We start from the raw sequence: 24,791 nt of genomic DNA, 5'->3' as shown, positions 1-24,791 counted from the left end.
TTAACAACAGACTAGACCAAGCTGAGGAAAGAAATTCAGACCTCAAAGAATGGTCCTACAAATTAACCCAGTCAGACAAGAATAAAGAAAAAAGAATTTTTAAAAATGAGCAAAAGTTTCAAGATATATGGGATTATGTAATAAGACCAAACCTAAGACTCACTGGCATTCCTGAGAGAGAAGGAAACACAGTGGGCAACTTGGAAAACATATTTGAGGATACAGTTCATGAAAATTTCTCCAATCTTGTTAGAGAAGACAACATGCAAATTACAGAAATTCAGAGAACTCCTGCAAGATACTATACAAGATGACCATCCACAAGACACATAGCCATCAGACTTTCCAAGGACAATGAAAAAGAAAAAATCTTAAAGGCAGCTAGACAAAAGGGTCAGATCACTTACAAAGGGAATCCCGTCAGGCTAACAGCAGACTTCTCAGCAGAATCCTTTCAAGCCAGAAGAGACTGGGGGCCTATTTTCAGCATCCTTAGAAAAAATAAATTCCAAACAAGAATTTCATATCCCACCAAACTAAGCTTCATAAGAGAAGGAGAAATAAAATCTTTTCTAGACAAGCAAATGCTAAGGGAACTCGTTACCACTAAACCAGCCTTACAAGAGCTCCTTAAGGGAGTTCTAAACATGGGAACAAAAGAATAATATCTGCTACCACAAAAACACATTTTAGTACACAGCCCATAGACTCCAAAAAGCAACTACACAATCGAGACTACAAAGCAACCAATTAACAACATCATGAAAGGAACAAAACCTCATATATCAATATTAATGTTGAATGTAAACAGTCTAAATGTCCACTGAAAGGGCACAGAGTGGCAAGATGGATAAAAACAACCAAGACCTAACTGCCTGCTGTCTTCAAGAGAAGCATCTCACATGTGATGACACCCACAGGCTCAAAGTAATGGGATAGAGAGAAATCTATCATGCAAATGAAAAACAAAAAAGAACAGGGGTCGATAATTCTTATACCAGATAAAAAGACTACAAACCAAAAACAGTAAAAAAGGACAAATAAGAGTATTACATAATGGTAAAGGCTTCAATTCAACAAGGAGACTTAACTATCCTGAATATATATGCACCCAACATTGGAGCACCCAAATTCATAAAACACATACTTTGAAACCTACAAAAAGACTTAGATAGCCACACAATAATAATGGGGATTTCAATACTCCACTATGGTGTTAGACAGATCATCAAGTCAGAAAATGAACAAAGAAATTCTGGACTTAAATTTGACAGTTAACCAATTGGACCTAATAGACATCTACAGAACACTCCACCCAACAATCACAGAATAAACACTCTTCTCATCTGCACACGGAACATACTCTAAGATCAAACATATGTTTGGCCATAAAGTTAAGTCTCAATAAATTCAAAAAGCTAGAAATCATTCCAAGCATACTCTTGTTCCACAGTGGAATAAAAATAGAAATCAATACCAAGAAGACCCAATTACATGGAAATTAAACAACTTGTTCCTGAACGATTTTGGGATAAACCATACAATTAAGGCAGAAATCAAAAAATTCTTCGACATTAATGAAAACATAGAAACAACATATGAAAATCTATAGGATGCAGCAAAAACAGTATCAAGAGGAAAATTTATAGTGCTAAATGCCTACATCAAGAAGTTAGAAAGAACTCAAATTAACAAGCTGAAGTTGTGTCTAGAGGAACTAGAAAACAAGAACCAACTCCAAAGCAAGAAGAAAAGATATAACTAAAACCAGAGCAGAAATGAATGAAACTGAAACCCAAAAAAATCCATACCAAGGATCAATAAAAAAAGGTTGGTTATTTGAAAGGATAAACAAGATCTATAAATTGATAGCTAGATCAACAAAGAAAAAAGAGAGAAGACCCAAATAACCACAATCAGAGATGACAAATGTGACATTACAACTGATCCCAAAGAAATATGAAAGAACCTCAGAGACTACTATGAACACTTCTATGCCCACAAATTAGAAAATCTAGAGAAAATGGATAGATTCCTGGAAACACACAACCTCCCAAGAATGAATCAGGAAGAAACTAAAACCTTGGGCAAATAACAAGTTCTGAAATTGAATCAGTAATTGTAAAAAAAGAAAACCTACCAACCAAAAAAAGCCATGGACCAGATAGATTCAGAGCTAAATTCTATCAGATGGATAAAAAAGAAAGAGCTGGCACCAATCTTACTATTACAAAAAAAAAAAAAAAAAAATCAAGGAGGAGAGACTCCTCCCTAAATCATGCTACAAAGCCAGCATCACCTTGATAACAAAATCTGTCAAAGACACAGTGAAAAAAGAAAACTACAGGCCAATATCCCTGATGAACATAGAAGCAAAAATCCTCAACAAAATACTAGCAAACTGAATCCAGCAGCACATCAAATAGTTAATTCACCAAAATCAAGTAGGCTTCATTTCTGGGATGCAAAGTTGGTTCAACATATGCAAATCAATAAATGTGATTCGACACATAAACAGAATTTAAAACAAGGACCATATGATCATCTCAATAGTCAAATAAAAAGGTTTTTTATATAATCCAACTTCCCTTCATGATAAAAACCTTCAACAAGCTAAACATTGAAAGAATATACCTCAAAATAATAAGAGTAATCTAAGAAAACCCCACAGCCAACATCATACTGAATGAGCAAAAGCTGGAAGCATTCCCCTTGAGAACTGGAACAAGACAAGGATGCCCGCTCTCACCATTCCTATTCAACATAGTACTGGAAGGCTTAGCCAGAGAAATCAGGCAAGAGGAATAAATAAAAGGCATCCAAATAGGAAAGAAGAATTCAAACTATCTTCTCTTCACTGACGATATAATTCTATACCTAGAAAACCCTAAAGACTCCAACAAAAGGCTCCTAGAACTGATAAACAACTTCAGTGAAGTTTCAGGATACAAAATCATATAAAAAAATCAGTAGCATTTCTATACACCAATAACATTCAAGCTGAGAATCAAATCAAGAATGTAATCCCATTTTACAATAGCTACAAAAACATAAAATGCCTAGGAATACATCCAGCCAAGGAGATGAAAGATCTTTACGAGGAGAACTAAAAAACCCTGCTAAAAGAAATCATAGCTAACACAAACAAATGGAAAAGTATTAGATTCTCATGGATTAGAATAATCAACATTGTTCAAATGGCCATACTACCCGAAGCAATCTACAGATTCAATGCTACTCCTATCAAACTACCAAAGTCATTCTTCACAGAATTAGAAAAAACTATTCTAAAATCCATAGATAACCAAAAAACAGCCCAAATAGCCAAAGCAATCCTGAGTAAAAAGAACAAACCCAGAGGTACCGCATTACCTGACTTCAAACTATACTACAAGGCTACAGTAACCAAAACAGCATGGTAGTGGTACAAAAACAGATACAAAGACTAAAGGAATAGGATAGAGAACACAGATATAAAGCCATACACCTACAACTATGTGATGTTCAGCAAAGTCAACAGAAGTAAACAATGGGGAAAGAACTCCCTATTAAATAAATGGTGCTGAGAAAACTGGCTATACACGTGCACAAGAATGAAACTGCACTCCTTCCTATCATGATATACAAAAATTAACTCAAGATGACTTAAACATTTAAATGTAAGCTCTCAAACTGTAAAAATCCTAGAAGAAAACCCAGAAAATACCTTCTTGACATTGGCCATGGCAAGGAATTTATAGCTAAGTCCTCAAAAGCAACTAAAACAAAAACAAAAATTGACAAGTGGGACCTAATTAAACTAAAGAGCTTCTGCACAGCAAAAGAAACTTATCAGCAGAGTAAACAGACAACATACAGAATGGGAAAAAATATTCACAAACTACGCATCTGACAAAGATCTAATAACCCAAATCTATAAGAAACTTAAACAAATCAACAAGCAAAAAACAAATAACCTGACTAAAAAGTGGGCAAAGGACGTGAACAGACACTTCGCAAAAGAAGGCATACAAGCAGCCAACAAGCACATGAAAAAATCTCTTATCACTAACAGAGAAATGCAAATCAAACCACAATCAGGTCAAGCGTGGTGGCTCACTCCTGTAATCCCCCCACTTTGGGAGGCTGAGGTGGGCAGTTCACCTGAGGTCAGGAGTTCAAGACCAGCCTGGCCAACATGGTAAAACCCCATCTCTACTAAAAATACAAAAATGAGCCAGGCATGGGGACATGTGCCTGTAGTCCCAGCTACTTGGGAGGCTGACGCAGGAGAATCACTTGGACCCGGGAGGATGAGTTTACAGTGAGCCGAGATCAGGCCACTGTACTCCAGCCTGGGCAACAAAGCGAGATTCTGTCTCAAAGAACAACAACAACAACAAAATGACATATCATCTCACACCAATCAGAACGGCTATTATTAAAAATTTGAAAAATAACAGATGCTGGTGAGGCTGTAGAGAAAAAGGAATGCATATATACTGTTGATGGGAATGTAAATTAGTTCATATCCACTGTGGAAAGCAGGTTGGAGAGTTCTCAAAGAATTAAAAGCAGAACTACCACTCAACCCAGCAATCCCATTACTGGGTATATACTCAAAGGAAAATAAATCATTCTACCAAAAAGATACAAGTACCCGTATATTCATCGCAGCACTATTCACAATAGTAAAGACAAGGAATCAATCTAGATGCCCATCAATGGTGGACTGGATAAAGAAAATATAGTACATGTATACCATGGAATAGTATGCAGCCATAAAAAGAATGAAGTCATGCCCTTTGCAGCAGCATGGATGCAGCTGAGGCCATTATCCTAAGCTAACGAACACAGAAACAGAAAATCAAATACCACATGTTCTCACTTGTGAGTAGAAGCTAAACATTAGATACACATAGACATAAAGATAGTTAAAACAAGCCAGGCATAGTAGCTCATGCCTGTAATCCCAGCTCTTTGGGACGCTGAAGTGGGAGAATTTCTTGAGCCCAGGAGTTTGAGACCAGCCTGGGCAACACAGAAAGACCCCATCTCTACAAAAACTAAAATAATTACCTAGCTAGGTGTCACAGCTAGTGCCTGTAGTCCCAGCTACTTGGGAGGCTGAGGCAGGAGGATCACTTGAGCCCAAGAGGTCGAGGCTATAGTGAGCCACGTTCTCAACACTGCACTCCAGCCTGGGCACCAGAGTGAGAACCTGTCAAAAAATAAAAATAAAATAAAAACAACAAACAATGGGGACTACAAGAGAGGGGAGGGAAGGAGGATGACAAGGGCTGAAAAACTACCTATTGAGTACTATGCTCATCACTACCTGAGTGACAGGTTCAATCATGTCCCAAACCTCAGCATCGTGCAACATACCCTTGTAACAAACCTGCACATGTAACCCTTGGATCTAGAAGAAAAATTGGAAAAAAAAAAAGACAAAAAATAAATAAAGGAATAAATACTTGTCCTTGTGCTTGAGAGATTAAGAAAAAAACAGAAGAGGGAATTAATGAAGATAAAAGCTGAAAATTAAGTAGAAAAAATAAATAAGGTAGAAAGAATAAATAAATTGAAAACATGGTTCTATGTAGCAACCAAAAACAGATAAGTGCTTACTAACCTGATTAATATACAGAGGAGAGAACACAAAAACAGACAAGATCAAGTCCAAGAAAAAATACATGACTACAGATAAGGAGATATTTTTAAATTATAAAATAAGAGGATACTACATGCTCAACTAAATATTTGGCAACAAATTTGAAAATTTAGAAGAAATGGATAATTTCCCAGCAAAACACAAACGACCAAAATTGACCCAAAAAGATTTGAATAGATTACCACAGAACACATCAGAAAGGTGATTAAGGGTTTACCCATTGAAAAATGGCACCAAGACCAGATGGCTTCACAGATTATCTTACCTTTAAAAGATACATAATTTCTTTTTTTTTTTTTTTTTTTTTGAGATGGAGTCTCTGTCGCCCAGGCTGGTGTGCAGTGGTGCGATCTCATCTCACTGCAACCTCCGCCTCCCAAGTTCAAGTGATTCTCCTCCCTCAGCCTCTCGAGTAGCTGGGATTACAGGCACCTGCCACCACACCCAGCTAATTTTTGCATTTTTAGTAGAGAAGGGGTTTCACCATGTTGGTAAGGCTGGTCTTGAACTCCTGACCTCAGGTGGTCTGACCACCTCAGCCTCCCAAAGTGCTGGGATTACAGGCACCCACCACCACGCCCAGCCAGGATACATAATTTCTAACGGTAGTTAAAGTATTCCAGACAAGAGAAAAAGAAGGAACATTCTGCAGTATATTTTACATAGCCACCATAACTTTAATCCTTAAACTTGTTTTTTTTAAAAGATGGAGTCTTGCTCTGTAGCCCAAGCTGGAGTTCAGCAGCACAATCATAGTTCACTGCAGCCTCGAACTCCTGGGCTCAAGTGATCCTCCTGCCTCAACCTCTCAAGTAGCTGGGACTACAGGCACACAACACCATGCCCTGCTAATTTTAATTTTAATTTTTTTTTTTTTTTTTTTTTTTGTAGAGACAAAGTCCTGGTATGTTGTCCAGGCTGGTCCCGAATTCCTGGCCTCAAGCAATCCTTCTACCTCAGCCTCCCAAAGTGTTGGGATTATACGCATGAGCCACCACACCTGGCCTCAATCCTTAAACTTGAAGAAAAAAACACTAAGAAAAACATGACTCTAATCTCGGGAATATTGAAGCAAGATTCTAAATAAAATATTGACAAATAGAACCCAGCAATGTATCAAAATAATAATATACTATGATCAGCGGGTGTATTTCAATAATGTAAGAGTAGTTCAAAACCAGAAAATCTATCAATGTAATTTATTATATCAAAAATTTAAATGAAAAAATCCCACATGACCAATAGATGTAGAAAAAGCATTAGATAAAATACAGCTACCATTCCTTCTTTTAAAAAATCTTGGCTGGGCACAGTGGCTCACACCTGTAATCCCAGCTCTTTGGGAGGCCGAGGCAGGAGAATTGCTTCAAGTCAGGAGATCAAGACCATCCTAGCAACAAAGTGAGACACTGTCTAAATAAATAAATAAATAAATAAATAAATAAATAAATATTTAAAAATCTCTACATAAATGTAAAAACTACTTAAGTATAATAGACTATTAACAAACACCAACAGCAAATATGGAGGAGTACAGAAAATATTTCCATTTAAAATCAGTTTTAGGCAAGAGTAGCCCGTCAGCACAATTTTTATTTAACTCTGAATTTCTAGCAAATGCAACAAGAAAATGAAATAACTGGTATAACTAAGGAAAAGAAGAGATAAAACTAAAATAAAATTTACAAGAACAAGAGAATTCGGTAAGATAGCCAGATATAAGATATTTTTAAAAATCAACAATCTTTTCCTATTCTAGCAAAAAGCACTTAGGAATAGAAAGGGGAAAAATATTCCACTCATTACGGCGTGGTTGGGGGAGAGGGGGAATGCTATTAATTCTTTTTCTATTCTTTTTATAATTCTTTTTTTTGGTGGGGGGTTAGAGACGAGGTTTCATCATGTTGTCCATGATGGTCTCAAACTCCTGAGCTCAAGCAGTATGCCCACCTTAGCATCCCAAAGTGCTAGGATTACAGGCGTGAGTCACTGCACCTGGCAGAAAAGCTGTTAATTCTTGAGGAATAAATGCATCAAGAAAGGCATAGAGCAGATATGAAGAAAAAGATAAATCTAACTGAAACAATAAGACGTGAACAGATGGAAAGAAATACCATTTCTTAGATAAAAGGAGCCATATAATTTAAAAACTGAAATATATACTTAAGGCAATTCTAATTAGAATTCCACTAGTATTTGAGAGAGGTAGGTGAATATAAGTGATCTTAAAATTTGTGTGTACGAACAAGTGACAACAAATAGCCAAGAATTTTTTTTATGTTTTTTTTGAGACAGAGTCTCACTCTGTTCCCCAGGCTGCAGTGCAGTGGCACAGTCCTGGCTCACTGCAACATCCGCCTCCTGGGTTCAAGTGATTCTCCTGCCTCAGCTTCCTGAGTAGCTGGGATTACAGGCATGTGCCACCATGCCTGGCTAATTTTTGTATTTTTAGTAGAGATGCGGTTTCACTATGTTAGCCAGGCTAGTCTCGAACTCCTGACCTCAAGTGATCCACCCGCCTCAGCCTCCCAAAGTGCTGGGATTACAGGCGTGAGCCACCGTGCCCGGCCCCAGAAAAATATTTTTTAAAGCCTAATGTAATCAAATATATGAGATTTGGGTACACAAATAGACAAAAAGAAGAAACAGAATAGAGAATCCATAAGTAGATCCTAGCATATAAAACATTTAATAGCTGCAAAGAGATCACAGGGTAAAATAGGGATCATTTAATATATTATTCCAATACAACTGGCTACCTATCTTCAAGAAAACTATCTTAACCAAGACTTGAAATTCAGATGCTATATAAGAAAAGAGTCATATTTGGATATAAAAATGCAAACAATTATATGGAAATATATTCCATCAACAAAGTCAGTATAGGCTGGGCGCAGTGGCTCACATCTGTAATCCCAGCACTTTGGGAGGCCGAGGCGGGCAGATGACTTGAGGTCAGTAGTTCGAGACCAGCCTGGCCAACATGGTGAAACCCCATCTCTACTAAAAAAATAATTAAAAAAAAAAAAAAAAGTCAATATAAACATATTTGGGAAAGGTATCTGTAACAATGATGATAGACAAAGGGCTAAAATCTAAAATATACAAAGAGGTCTTAGAAATTAGAAAAATATAAACAACCCATAGGAAAATGTGCAGATAATATGAATAGACAACTCGAGGAACAAATTTAATTGGACAAAAAATTGAGATAATACTGAAACTCACTAGTAGCCAAGAAACTGCATCCATTAGGTTGTCAAAATTACAAAAGAACCATTAACACCTGTTGCTGATAGGGATAAGAAGAAAATAATAATCTCACATATTACATACAAAAGCAAAAAGTGTAGCATAACAGCCTGTTTTTATAAATCAATATGGCGATATCTATTAACATAAATATATATTTAAACATTCCCATATACCTATATACCTCTACCTACATCTATATCTAAACTGAAAGCAACAGTATATAAGGGTATATACAAAATCATGTTGATTTAAGCATTGAATGTAGTGGCAGAAATGTGCAAAGAAAGTAAATGTTCATTAATAGGGGAATGGCTGAATAACTTATTGTGCATTCATGGAATATTTTACAACATTATAAAAGAATAAGAGCTACATCAATAGACTGTGATAGATTTCTATGAGATATTGTAGAATGAAAAAGATATATTAAAGTATATATAATATTCTATTTCTGTAAAACAAACAATGAACAACAACAAAACATTCCAAAACTTGTGTGTGTATGTGTGTATGCATGTGTATATCTATGCACATGGAGTAAAATGTGAAAAGATACATACTGTTTTGGTAATACAAAGGGATAGTGTGGAAAGGTAGAACTAGGAGCTGAAGAAAAAAAGGGAAAAGAAAGGACCACTACAAAAAAAAATCCAGCAATCATATTTATGATTTACACACCTATATGAATGTATCAATAAACCAAGTTAAATTTAGAAAAGATACAGTAAACACCTCAATATACAATATGATCTCTGCTTCTTAAGAAAAGAAAGGTAATAAGCAAAATTATCTCTTGGTGCTTGGATTTGGGATGGATGATGTTTCTTCCTTATGTGTCCCTGTGTTTTCCATAATGAGAATTGTTACTTTCATAATGAAATAGAACCAATAAATGTTACTTTTAAAACATTACACTGAATAATTGAGCTCATTTTGGAAAATCAAGGAAGGAAAACAGGGTTAAATACCCCTTTCCTTTAGGAGCTGTTCAAGTAAGAAATACATGAAATCAGGATCCATTATCCCTCACGCAGCTGAAAGTTACTCACCTAAGGCAAGAGACTAAGTGGCTATTTCAGGGAGCTATTTGAAGCAGCAAATGGGGTCCTTTTTCCCCTACCTAACACTTTAATGACTTAAGTAAATCAGAAAGCCATTTACACCATTCTCAATTATCCAAGAATCTGCTGGGCTCTTTATTTCCTGTTCCCTTCCTCTGGCTTGCAGCCATTTCACTGCTCAGGAACATCTCCAGAATCGGGGCCAGGGAAGGAGAAAAGAGATGAAATTAATTCAGTCGATTTGGCTTCTCATTAGCAACTCTAATAAAAGGTTTGATAAGTGAGGTGGTCACAACTCACGGTTAAAATGAGGGTTCCAGGACTCTTGATAATTTCATTTAAATAAACCTGCCTTCAGAGAAACACTATTTGCCTGCAATATACTTTAATAGATTTGATGCTTGCTATTTTTATGAAAGTCTGAACTTGTAATAGTGGACATTTTCCTCTCCTCACTTTAATTTGCACTTTAGGGGGGAAAACCCCATAAAAACATAAGAACAATGCCCTTCAATGTGAAGAACCATATGCTCAGTGGAGCAGTAGGCTCACAAAGCAAAGATTCTTGAGAGAAAGGAAGCTGTCTGGCCCCTAGCATGCTCTCAAGAGAAATTTTAGCAGGGCAGCAACCTTCCAAGGGAGCATGCCTTGGCCATACATCCCCTACTGGAAGGATTTGCTAAAAAGGATTTGACGGCTTGACAAAAACCAGGTCTTCACAAACAATATTTCCCTGTTTCAGTAGGCCCTCACAGACCTTCATCCCTTTGGGAAGTGCAAAGACAAAATGGTACAATCCCAAGGTGTTCACAGCAATGTGTTATCAGTCTTGTTAGCAAACAGACAAAAATACTCTGAAGAGCAACAGAGCAAAAGCCAATTTTCTCTTACTTGAAGACGACGATAGCTCCCCGACATGGAGGGCAGGCCAGGAGAAAGATCTGCAATTGAAGAAGAATTAAGAATGGTTAGCAAGAAAAAATGCCAGACAGAGTGAGACAATGTTACTTTAACAATAACAAAAAATAACCAAAACTCTAACACAATAATGTAATATAAAAATTTTTAAAGGCAACAGGTACATGTTTGTGCTTGCATGCATGCATGCGTGTGTGTGTGTGTGTGTGTGTGTGCGCACACATGAGAAAGGGAGAAGGAGGGTGAGAAGACTCAATATTTCAATGCTTCAGTTTCAATACGACACAAGTAGTCAGTCTTAAATTTAACCCAGGGCAGGTAAAAATAGATTCTGAGCATGGAACACGCACACACCATGCCATCTGGTTTGCCTCCCAGGGGAGAAGGTGGGTTTATCAATACTCAACATTGCCAAATTTAGCAAATAAAAATACAGGATGCCCAGTTACATTCGAATTGCAGATAAACAATGAATAGTTTTAGTATAAATATGTCCTGTATTTATTTTAGCTGGCAACCCTATCAAACTGCCACCCGCAGGTTCCAAGCCTCCCTTTGATTGATTCTTTTGTTTCTAAGCACGTCTAGGTGGTTTTACTCTTCCATTCTCCTCCCAGGTAAAACCAAACAAAAAGAACCTTGTCCTAACAGACAAATCAGTTCCCTGATACCTGGTGTGGCATGGGCCCAGATTACAGCCTTTGGAAACCTGCAGCTGTGGCAGTTTGACCTTCCCCCATGCAGTGGTGCTCAAACATCAAGAGGAACAAAAAAGTCCTATGCAGAGCTTGTAAAACATACAAATTCCTGGGTTCCCCCATTAAGAATTCTGATTCCCCAAGTATGGGACTCCAGAAATCCTCATGTTTCACAAATGTCCCAGGAGATTCAATCACTCCTGGTAGCCTGAGATGCTGAATTTTTGCCCTTGGACTGAACTACTACAGGAGTCAAAAACATTCAGCAGAACTGAGGATTGACAAAGGAATGAAACTCATGTTTGTAGAGTTTCTTCACCTGTAGTGACTTAATGGTGTGGTTTAGAAATCGTTGACATGTGTCCCTATATTGTTGAGAGCTCTTATTAATATAGGATATCTGCATTATGGACTTGTTGGCTTTATCACTTGTATGTTCTTTAGTATGTGGTTCTTCTGTTCTCTCGGAGTCCATATTTAGAAGAAAAGGGTATTATAAGAAAAATCACTATAAGGAAAGACACCTGCATGAATCCCTGCCAATAAGAAGAGGAAGAAGAATGAAAATGAGAAAGGGTCTTAAAAAGAACACAGTCAGGAGTCCATCACCTGCATGATACCTCATCAAAGGAAATATCTGTCAAGAATGTGCCTTTTCCCTTGATCAATTTCATTAAACATACAAAGCCGATGATAATTACAGGTCCACAATCTTTTGTTGGCAATCCCAAAATCCAAAAAGCTCTAAAAACTGAAAGTTTGTTTTCTTCAAAGCTAATGTTACAGCAAAATACGACTTGAATTGAGGTTAGGCTACTTATAGACTTTATTTCTTCCACTTACGGTGAATATTCATATGTTTCCCATAAAAATAATAATGTATTTAATTGCGGGGTACTGCCTCAAACCCCACTGGGAGTGTATGTAAAAGACTCTACATGCACTGTACGGCCTCTCTGAAATCCAAAAAAATTCTGATTTCTGAAATATATCTGATCTTAATGGTTTTGGATAAGGATTACAGACTTGAAATTTCAATTATCCAAACATCGACTTATCCCCACTCCCCATCCCACCCCTCAGGAGCAGTCCAAGAAATAAACAAAGCTAATATTTTTTACCCTTGATCCAGCAGTAAAGTTACTCACCTTAGGTAAGGGACCAAGTTGGAGGCTGCACATAGTTACCCAGCATCAGGCCCATCAAAGGCTACACTCAGAAGCTACAGTACACAGAGAAGAGGAAGGGGCCCCAACCACCTTAGAAAGGTCCTCAATACTTCTGGAGTCACCAGAGTCATGCCAGCAGCCTTCCTGAGCTTCTGGAATACCCAAGACACTTCCAACATGCTAAACAGAGATGTAAAAATGCAACACTGGGCACCACAGTTAAATCTTACTTTTCTATACCCACAGACAAGAGGAGGTAAGCTGATTTTCGGGGACAAATTTCCCTTATAAGTCCATTTGGCTGGTTCTGATCCACAATTTCCCTAGGCTAGAAGCCCAGAAAACTATTAAAGAGAACAAGCCTCCAGTTTCAACCCAGTTGGTTGTCCTGTTATCCTCCATCAGTCATGGTTCTAACTTTAGTCGTTTCATCTTTTCTGTCTTGCCTATTTCTATCATCAGCATAGCAGCATAGAAGGTATCTTTTTTTTTTTTTTTTTTTTTTTTTGAGAAAGTCTCACTCTGTTATCCAGGCTGGAGTGCAGTGGTGCAATCATAGCTCACTGTACCCTCCAACTCCTGGGCTGAAGCAATTCTCCTACCTCAGCCTCTCAAGTAGCTGGGACTACAGGTGTGCACCACCATATCTGGCTAATTTTTTTATTTTTTATTTTTATTTTTATTTTTTTGTGGAGACAGAGTCTCACTATGTTGCCCTGGCTGGTCTCGAACTCCTGTCCTCAAGCAATCCTCCTGCCTCAGCCTACCAAAGTGCTGGGATTACAGGTTTATCACTGTGCCTGGCCTCTAGGGTCCTTTTTCAAATCTGCTGACTTGATATAACTAAATGTATCTGATTGAAAGATTATTTATTACATTACATTCCACCTCCTATGATGGTACACAGTTATCTGGGGATTCCTGATTATTCATATTGCATTTCCAGAAAACTCATGGCCTCCTTTAGCAACTTCTCAGATTTCTGATACTGAACCTCTTCACCCTGTCATGCTAGAGTCACATTCATATTCAACATTAGCCAACAGAGCCACATGGAACTAACATTTTAATTCAGAGGTGCAAGGGCCCCCAGCCTTGGTCTGAATATCCTTGCTTTCTTCTTTGCTTGGCTTCCAACTGCCTGAAAATTTTGGTGGCATGCATTTTTAGACTAGGAGGTGAAAAGCTAAACTATCACTTTGGCTGCAAATAGAATAGGAAGAGATGAGACTTAGAAGTTCAAACAAGGATGGTACAAAGATGAGAATATATCTGAGCATACCCCAGTACCAACTTGGCACTTTGCATTCATGCTGACATCTGCCCAGCTCAGCACCTGAAACAAAAGGCATGAGCAGGTAGCATATAGAGAAGTGCTACAGAGCACTTCCACTTTCCCATCACCTGGGAGGCAGGCAGAACCATGTTATTAAACCCCATTTCAGAGATGAGGAAACTGAGGGGAAAAGGTTCTGACAAGCTTTCTGATGAGAGCCCAGGTCCCTTAACTCCCAGTTCAATGCACTTTCCACTTCACACCTGACACATACCAGGGCTCATGAGAGCTCCTTTTCTTTAGACTCTAGCCCTGGCCCTTGACCACATGGCACACAGGGAGTCACCCCAACAGCCCCACACCTGTGCCATCAGCCAGCTCATAAGATCTACTCTCTACAGTGTGAGACATCTCAAAACACAAACTCAACTGGACAGCAAATTGCATTTACATAGATGAGTTTCAGAGTCCCAAAGACAGGTTCATTATAGCTCCCACCTGCCTCATCCCCAGGTCTGGTGGGCACTTGCAATCCTTATAAAACTGAGGTCTTTTTTGGCTGGTTTTCCCAGAAAAAATCCACGGTTCCATTCAAAACCACACACTCTCTCAGCTTCCTCAGGAAAGATCCCTGTACTAACCTTTAGTTCTTTCCTAAGCATCCAATCTAGGCATCAGCTGTTATCCCAGTTCATCCTCTACCTGCGAACCTCTCTGGTTCCAGGTTCCCACCTTCTCTACCGAACCTCTCAGCCAACACCTGGCCTGCTTCCCATTCCTGTTCCCCCAGTCATATCAGCCCCAAGTTCACTGCCACCATTGTTCAGCCTCCCATCCACTTCTGCTCCACCCCAGTGTTACATTCAACAATCCTCATTTTCATAGCACTTAAAGAAGATAGCTTTTGTACACTGGAGCAAGTGTTAGTACTATGAGAAATGTAATTGGGAAGGAGGGCCAGTGACCACAGGCCATCCTAAATGAGAGGCTAGCCAGGGTAAGCAATGAAGGGATATGGGCAAACTAAATGAAAGGGAAACAGAGTGAGAGAGGTACAGGAGAGTGGTGTTTGGCCTAGCACACAATCTCCCCAAGCTCCAGTTCTCCTGTCAGCACCTCCTGGGATGGCACATAGCTATCTGGGGATCGCTGAGGCCAAGTGCTTATGACTGTTACCCACCATAAGGAAGATTAACTCTCTGGGCTGCCCAAAGTTGGTCCTATGACTCCATCTACTTCATACCCTTGGGCCCTCATCATCTCTTTCAGGACCACTGCAATAATTTCCTTACTGGTCTCCTGCCTCCAGGCACACTGCTACAAGAGGGATCTATCTAAAATGCCCCTCTGATCTGCCATTTTAAATCCTTCCATGGCTTGCCACTACCTACCAAAAAAGCTCAAGGTTCTTCGGATGGCGGACAAGGCCTTCTTTGCTCTAGATCCTGCCTACCTCTCCAGCATGACAGCCTTGCGCGTTATGTCAAGCTGTACCCTGAACGTATTTGTGTCAATTACTACACTTCTACTATCTCATTTTCCAATACCTTCATTTTATTCAATTATATGGATATGCAATAATTTACTCAACCAATATCCTCTGGTTGCACATGTAAATTACATCTAAATTTTCAGTTCCTTTACTATTTCCTTAGCCCACATTGATAGAAGACAGTCTAGATCTTCAAAGGGAATATCCATTTGAAGGCTTTTGACCCATAATGCTAAACTGCCCTCCAGAAAAATTATTTAAATTGCTATTCCCTCCAGCAATATACAAGGATCTGTTTTCTGCTGCAACCTGACAAACAGGTCATTATCATTTGGTAATTATCACGTGTTTAACAGGCAAAACACACACACACACACAATTTGCATGCCTCAGATTACCAGAAATGTTAAACTATTTTCTAACAGGTATATTGGCCAGCCATATTTCTTCTTTTGGGATGTGACCATCTGTGCACTTTGACTGTTTTTCAGCTGGTGTGTTCTTTTCAACTGAGTTGTAAAGAGCTATTTATATATTAATGACAGCTAATATAGACTGAAATTTATTGCAAAAAATTTTCCCAGGCTGTCATTGTTGCAGCTCTGTTTATGATAGGTTTTTATTTATGGAAGCTTTTTAAATCTTTATGTAATCAGATGTATTTGTCATTCCCTTTATGGCTTCTGTCTTTGATATCACGCTTTGAAAATCTTTTATAACAGTGGGATTACAGAGTCACCTATTGTTTTCTTAACATTTTCATAATTTTATTTTTTAAATTTAAATCTCTAACATCAAGAAATTGTGCCTTTGCTAATCCTATTCCCTCTTCCAGATGGTTTTTCCAACTTTCCTCTTGTGGCTCTTATCTACCCTTCAAATGCAAAATTAAACTATTTTCTCCAGGAAAGCTTCCCTTACACTCCACGGTTAAACGCCCATTCTGGTGATTTCATTATCTCCCTTGATTTGCCTATTTCTGAGATTTTACTATTTTTGTCAGTCTAAGGAGTTTATAAAGAAGCTTCCCTCAAGAATTTGAATAAAAGGGAAATAAGAGTGCCTACTAAGAGTTAAGCGTTAAAATCCCAGACTTGAAAGACCAGATTGTAACCTGCTTGAAATATACCCAAAGAAAGAATGGGGTTGACCAACCACTGAGGTATAAAATAAGGAGAGTTGCAAACATGTATTTGGTAATGTCCACAACCAAGCAGTGTCTACATCCAAGCCCATAAATATCATGTTTTCTAGTCCCATTGGCAAATTCATCCCTACTAAGAAGATGGAAGGAGGACAGTTAGCATTGCCAAGTGGTTAAAGAATACAGGCTTTAGAGTTAAGACAAACTTGGATCCACATGGTGGCTCTGCCACTCACCAGCACTCTGGCCTTGGGCAAGAGATTAGAGGAATTTTCATCTGTAAAATAGAGACAAAAATAGTATCTATGTCTCACAAGGTTTGGGAGAGGACAAAATGAAACAAAGCAAGAAAAGCATTTGGCACAATGCCTAGCACATAGCTAGCACTCAATACATAATAGCTATAATTATCCTGATTTCAATAGAAAATTCATCCCTACTATGAGCCAATTCAGCAACAAATCATATTAAATTTTCAATTCCTCTAACTTCACTTGTTTTAATTCCATGTTTGCAATAACAACATTCTGACATATTACTCAACTTCCCTTGTCCAGCTGCCTACAGAGAATACTTAACCCTTTAGGCTCAGTTCCCTTATCTGTCAAGTGAGGATTACAATAGTATTATTTCATAGGGTAACTGTAAAATTTAAATGCTTGAGGTACCTAGTTCAAATGCCTGGCACACTGTAGGGAATAAAATAAGTATGAGCTATTGATAGCATCGTCCTTATTGGATGCCCAAATTGTATAATCTCAATGGAATCATGAAAAAACATCAGATAAACCCAAATCAGGGGCATTCTACAGAGTAAACTGAACAGTACTCTTCAAAATAGTCAAGGTTGTGAAAGGCAAAGACTAAGGAACTACCACAGATTAGAGAAGACTAAAGAGAGATCATATCTAAATGCAATTAAGGATCCTAAATAGATCCTGCAACAGAAAAGGGACATTTGTGAAAAAAACTGGTAAAACCCAAATAAAGACTGTAGTTAAGTTCATATTGCATTGTATAAATGCTAATTTTTCAGTTTTAATAATTTTACCATAGTTATGTAAAATGTTAACATTAGGGGAAGCTGGGTGAAGGATATACAGGAATTCTCTGTAATATCTTTACAACTCTTCTGTAAGTCAAAAGTCATTTCAAAATAATACAAAGTTTTAAAAGGTACTATAATCTAATCCATTAGCCTCTCTTCACACCTCAGAGTTACCCCTGATCCCCCACCTTTCTCAGCCCCACATGTATTCAGTCCCCAAATCCTGTCTTGTCACTTAGACCTTTTCTTTTTCTTTTCTTTTTTTTTTTTTTTTTTCAGACAGGGTCTTGGTTTGTCACCCAGTCTGGAGTGCATTGGTGTGATCATGGCTCACTGCAGCCTCAAACTCCTAGGCTCAAGCAATCCTCTCACCTCAGCCTCCTGAGTAGTTAGGACTACAGGCATGTGCCACCACACCTAGCTATTTTTATTTTTTATTTTTTGTACATATGGGGTCTCATTTTGTTACCCAGATTGGTCTCAAGCTCCTGGCTTCAAGTGATCCTCCCACCTCAGCCTCCCAAAGCACTAAGATTACTAGTGTGAGCCACTGCACCCAGCCCAACCTTTTCAATACATCTGAAATCCACCCTCACTATCTTTTCCTAGTTTGGTCCCTATCATTTTCTTAAACTACTACAGCAGTTTCCTATCTGATCTCCAAGTATCCAGTGTTTTTCCTTCATCACTCTAATTCACGGGTGTCCAATCTTTTGGCTTCCCTGAGCCACACTGGAAGAAGAATTGTCTCGGTCTACACATAAAATACACTAACACTAATGATAGCTGATGATCTTTTTAAAATAATTGCAAAAAAATCTCATAATGTTTTAAGAAAATTTATGAATTTGTGTTGGGCTGCATTCAAAGCTGTCTTGGGCTACATGCAGTCCACAGGCTGGACAAGCTTGCTCTAATTTTATATAGTATTGTCAGGTTCCTATTCTTAAAATAGCATTCTGATCCTGTTACACTCCTCCTTGAAAGTTTTAAATGACAGATTCATCACAGTACGTATCAGAATCCCAGCTGACATTTTTTTTTGTAGAAACTGACACGCTGATTTTAAAATTCATATGGAAATGCAAGGGACCCCAAACAGCCAAACCAACCTTGAAAAGAAAAAGTGGGAGGACTTACACAGCCTGATTTCAACTTATGGCAAAGCAACAGTAACAAAGACAGTGTGGTACTAACCTAAGGAAAGACACAGAGACCAACAGAATAGAATTGAGAGTACTGAAATAAATCCTCAGAAGTGATTTTTGACTAAGGTATCAAGACCATCCAATGGTAGAAAGAACAGTCTCTTCAACAAATGATGCTGGGACAACTGGTTATCCACAGGCAAAAGAATTAAGTTGGACCCCTACCTCATAACCCATATACAAAAATTCACTCAAAATCAAAGACCTAACTGTAAGAGCAAAAACTATAAAACTTGTAAAAGAAAGCATAGGGATACATGTCATGACCTAGGATTTGGTAACAGACTCTAAGATGTAACCAAAAGCACAAGCAACAAAAGAAAAAATAAATATACTGTACTTCACCAAAATTAAAATATTTCATGCTTCAAATGACACTATTAAGAAAGTGAAAAGACATCCCAGACTGAGCATGGTGGCTCACACCTGTAATCCCAGCACTTTGGGAGGCCGAGGCAGGCAGATCACTTGAGGTCAGGAGTTTGAGACCAGCCTGGCCCACACAGCAAAACTCTGTCTCTACTAAAAATTAAAAAAAAAAAAAATTAGCCAGGCGTTGTGGCACATCACATGCCTGTAATCCCAGCTACTTGGGATTACTTCTCCTGCTGAGGCAGGAGAAGTGCTTGAACCAGGGAGGCAGAGGTTGCAGTGAGCTGAGATCACACCACTGCACACTCCAGCCTGGGCATCAGAGTGAGACTCTGTCTCAAAAAAAAAAAAAAGAAAGAAAGGGGAGGGGAGGGGAGGGGACCCAAAGAATGGGAGAAAAAATCTGCAAATCATGTATCTAATAGGAGTCTAGTATTCAGAATAAATAGCTCTTAAGACTCAACAATAAAAAAGAAAATTAACAGATGGACAACTCAATGAAATCAGGAAAACAATGTATGATCAAAATGAAAAGTTAAATAAAAAGATAGAAACTGTAAACAACAGCCAAACAAATTCTGGAGCTGAGGAATACAATGACTCAACTAAAAACAGGAGATTTATCAAGCAGAAGAAAGAACCAGCAAATTTGAAGAACAGTTATTTAAAATTACCTCATCAGAAGAGAAAAAGAAAAAAAAGGATGAAAAGGAATAAAGAACCTTAGAGGGTCAAAAATACACAATGGGGGAAAAGATGCTTGCTTGAACAAATGATGTTGGGGTAACTGGATATCCACACGCAAAGTAATGAAATCAGACTCTTATCTTACACCACACACAAAAACCAACTCAAAATGGGCTTAAGACTTAAATGTAACATCTGAAACCATAAAACTCCTAGAAGAAAACATAGGAAAAACTTCTTGAAATTGGTCTTGGCAATGATTTTTTGAATATGACATCAAAAGCACGTGCAAGAAAAGTAAAAAACAAACAAACAAAAACAATTAGGACTACATCAACCTAAAAAGCTATATAGCAAATATTTGCAAACCACAAATTTGATGTCAATATTTAAAATATGTAAAGAACTCATAAACTCAATAGCAGAAATACAAATAACCCAATTTTAAAATGGGCAAAGGATCTGAATAGACATTTTTCCAAAGAAGGCATACAAATGGACAACAGGTATATGAAAAGGTGCTCAACATCACTAATCATTGGGGATATGCAAATGAAAACCACAGTGAGATCTCATGTCACCCTTGTCAGAATGGCTATTATAAAAAATGCAAAAGATGGCAATATTGGGAAGGGTGTGGAGAAAACAGAACCCTGGAAAACTGCTGATGGAGATCAATAGAGCCATTATCAAAAATAGTATAGTTTCAAAAAAAAAAAAAAAAAAAGACCTATTCTATGACACAGCAATCCCACTTCTGGAATACTTATCCAACAGTTGAAATCAAGATCTCAAAGGGATATCTGCACTCCTATATTCCTTGCACCGTTATTCACAATAGCAAAGATATAGAAACAAGATAAATGTTCATCGATGGATGCATGAATAAAGAAAATGTGGTATATTATCCAGCCTTTAAAAAGAAGGATATCCTATCATTTGCAGTAACACAGAAGGACCCAAAGGACATTATGTTAAGTGAAATGAGCCAGAAAGAAAAATATCTTATGATGTCACATAAATATGAAATGTAAATTAGTCTAACTCATAGAAGCTGAGTATAAAATGATGGTTAGCTGGGGCTGGTGCTGGGAAAGTAAGATGTTAGTCAAAAAGTACAAAGTTTTAGTTTTCCAGGACAAGTAAGTCCTGGATATCTAATGTACAGCATGGCGACTATAGGTGAAAATACTGTACTGTATACTTAAAATTTGCTATAAGAATAGATCCTAAGTATTTCCAACACACACACACACGCATACACACATAAATGATAACTCTATGATGTAATGCATGTGTTATCTTGATTGTGGTGATTTCCATATATATATATAATCATTAAGTTGAAAACCTTAAATATATACATTAAAAATAGCTAAAGTATTAAAAAAACTCAACAATAAAAAGATAAATAACCTTGAACAGACATCTCTCCAAAGAAAACACACGGGTACTCAACATGCACATGAAAAGATGTTCAACATCATTAGTCATCAGGGAAATGCAAATCAAATCCACAATGAGATGACACTTCATACCCACTAGCATGGCCAAAATATAAAAGGCAAACACAAGTGTGCATGAGGATGTGGAGAAATTGGAACCCTTTTATACTGTCGGTAGGGATGTAAAATGATGCTGCCATTTTAGAGAAACAGTCTGGCAGCTCCTTGAGAGGTTAAACATAGAGTTATCATATGACTCAGCAATTCCACTCCTATACCTGGGGGAAATGAAAACCTATGTCCAAGGGAAATAAAAACCTATGTGCACCTGAAAACTTACAGATGTTCACAGAAGTATTATCTGTAATAGCCAAAAGGCAGAAACAACCCAAATGCTCACCAACAGACAAATGGATACATAAAATGTGGCATATCCTTAAAATGGAATATTAATTGGCCATAAAAATAAGTGAAGTACTGATACATGCTAAACACAGATGAATCTCGAAAACATACTAAGTGAAAGAAGCCAGTGGAAAAAGGTCACATATTATAATTACTCAATTTCTATGAAATGTCCAGAATAGATAAAATCTATAGAAACAGAAAGTAGATTAACAATTGCTTAGGGCTGGTGAGTGGGGGAAAGGTAGGGAGGGGGGTGAGCTAAATCGTATGGAGTTATTTTTTGGATGATGAAAATGTTCTAAATTTGACTGTGGTGGTGGTTGCACATATATGTGAATATACTAAAAACATTCAATTGTACACTTTAAATGAATGAATTATATGGTATATGATTATAACCCAATAAAGCTGTTTAAAAAACAAACTTTGGATAGCTCCTTATTGCTTGATAAATAAAAGTCCAAATTCCTTAATTGGGCATTCAACTCCCTCCCCTCCTGCATCATCATTTGACCCCCGACCAGCATCATTGCTCACTACTCCCTTTTACATGCTTTTCTATCCAACCAAGATGAATTATGCACCATTACCCATATATCCCTTGTGGTCTCCCATCTGTCTTTCTTCTCGCTATTCCTTCCCCCTGAGATTCTCTCCTCCTGACTCATCTTCACATGTTAATATTCTACTTCTTTCACAAAGCCCAGTTCAAATGCTCCCTCCTATGCAAACCCCTCCCTGTTCTTCAACCCTCACATAGTAGGCACTTAAAAAACTATTTACTGAAAGAACGAAGGTACGTAGTTCTCCTATATGATGGCTCTCATTTACAGAGAAGATAATTCTCCCAAAGCCACAACTTTACTTCTTTCTTCCTTTCCTGGTCACAGCAGCAGCTCACTGCTTCAGCCCCCTTACCCTGAGGACAATCCCAAACTGGTACCTTGATGAAGAAAGTACTGACATTACATTATGCCAGGGCCGCCGAGTACAGTTGTGTAGGTTGTGCACTGCACAACCCTAGTGGCGCCATTCAATTATAGTCTATGTGAATGGCACCCTCTCCTAGGGTTGTGCAGTGCATAGCCATTCGTGGCGGCCCTGCTTGGAAACATTCCTAGTGTTTGAGAACAAAGCCAAAAAGAACACTCAATGAGAGAATCACTATGTTGTCGCTGAGAAGTAGGCAACTCAAAAATCTTGTCAAGAAAAAAGAAATTCAAGAGAATAGCATGGCCATAGCACACAAACAGCATTTGCATGGAATTGAAAACAGGAACATCCAAGAGAAAAATTGTTACTGATGTTTCTCCAGCAGTGGAGAGAGAACAGGACACACATTCTGGTCACACTACAAAGCTATGACAGACATGCAAAAAGGTACAGTTTTCCATGGACTACCAAAGCCTATATGGTCTCGCTCATGAGACTTTTCAACTCCATTAGGTTCTGATTTTAGGTTATAAAACAGTCCCTGTTTAATTTGGCTTCAGGTACCTTGATATCAGAAAGGGCTGATACACACAAGTGTTCTCATCTCTATAAAGGTCTCTCTCTCATCATCAATCGACTTATCAGCCTGGTGATTTATTAAGAAGTGTTTTGTAATGTTGGGGAGTGTGACCCAATCCACTAGAAACCAACAGCCCTGGGTAAGCTGATAAAAATTAGGCTTTGAACCTACAAACCAAGTTGCAGAGTTAGGACCCGTGTCAACTCCACCAAGGCACAGACACCCTCAAGCTCAGTCAGAGCAGCTGGCCAACTAGCTGGCCAAGTCAAAACTGCAGCCAGTAATTCAGGGCACTCCAAAATGGAGAGCCATAAAGGACTGGACATATTGGTAGTGACAACAGGTGAGCTGGTGGTAGAGCTCAAGGGTGCCAGATGTTGCGTTTGTTTCTTCTTTTTGTTCCCCACTCCAGTTCAGTTCAGCCTCCCACTTTCATATTTGCTCCACCTGGAATATTTCATTCCACTTCTTCTGTCTCCTCTAGAGATTTCCTGGATAAGTCACAAAAATTAAGCATTCTTTTTCTGAACTCCATTGGTATTTGTTGGTACTTATACACTAATCACTTATTAGTCTCATACTGTTGTTAGTAACAACAATAATGGCAGTAGTTATTCCTTACTGAGTGCTTACTAGGTGCCTGGCACTACAGTCAATGTCTTACACATATTAGTTCATATATTCTTCATAGCAATCCTATTATGTAAGAGATTATTATTTTCCTCCTGTTTGCATACAAGGAAACTGAGCTACAGAAAGGTTAAATAAATTGCCTAAGGTCGCACAACTAATAAGTGAGTCAAAGAGTCAGGCCTGGAACCCAAAACTATCTGATTCCAGAGGTCATGTTTGTTGCCAATACTACCTTTTGTCTCCACCATAAGATAATTTATCTTTTCTGGAGTTCCCTCTGCCTCCACTCCACATAGTGCCTAACACACCATCGGACATATAAAAGTCCTCCAGAACACATGCGCACATCTGCCTCTGCTCCCTGTCCAGAGCCCAGCCCAGGACATAAGCTGGAAGAGAAGGGAAGACGGTGTAGTTAGCATGAAGGGGCTTGACCTTTCAGGGAGCCACAGGAGTCCTCCTCCTCTGACCCATTTAAGAGAGGATCATGCTGCTCCTTGACCTCAATCCCAGAAAAATATGTAGAACAGGATGACCTGGTTACCTTGAAACTCGTCAAGAAAACTCTGAAGTAACAGAGCCTAGGCCAACCCATGGGAGGGATGGATGGTATCCAGTTCCCTGAAGCAAGAGGACCAATTGTGTCAGAGTCAAAGCCACATGGGACAGCTAATGTTTGCAGTGCTCCACCACCAATGAACTCTATGGCCAAAGTTGGGGTTTTTATGATGGTGGGGGAGAGGTGTATTTTTTTTAAAAGAAAGTATTTTTTACACCTCCTTAAGCCTCAGTTTTCTCATTGTTTAAAACA

General features: G+C 38.3%; 1 protein-coding gene and 1 non-coding gene across 21 annotated transcripts in view; both read right to left on the bottom strand.

Annotated features, from left to right (window-relative positions):
* The window catches only part of TMEM164 (transmembrane protein 164), a 181,883-nt gene that overhangs the window by 105,995 nt on the left and 51,097 nt on the right, over positions 1-24,791 (bottom strand). For 15 of the 20 annotated variants that reach the window (XM_047442570.1, NM_001353849.2, XM_047442569.1 and 12 more), the window contains one exon: positions 10,861-10,910. The exons of 4 other annotated variants lie outside the window; for them this stretch is intronic. In XM_047442570.1, the coding sequence (XP_047298526.1) occupies positions 10,861-10,910 (50 nt within the window). Of the gene's footprint in view, positions 1-10,860; positions 10,911-12,733; positions 24,783-24,791 lie in introns of those variants that run through there. One more of the 20 variants, XM_017029894.3, reaches the window with a different exon arrangement.
* On the bottom strand, positions 22,831-22,928 carry MIR652 (microRNA 652). Its single transcript, NR_030381.1, has one exon. It is a non-coding gene; the product is annotated as a microRNA 652 (primary transcript).

The sequence above is a fragment of the Homo sapiens genome, chromosome X (assembly GCF_000001405.40).
Source record: "Homo sapiens chromosome X, GRCh38.p14 Primary Assembly".
NCBI lineage: Eukaryota > Metazoa > Chordata > Mammalia > Primates > Hominidae > Homo > Homo sapiens.
Note: the sequence above shows the minus strand (reverse complement) of the source record. Positions and strands in the feature narration are given on the sequence as shown.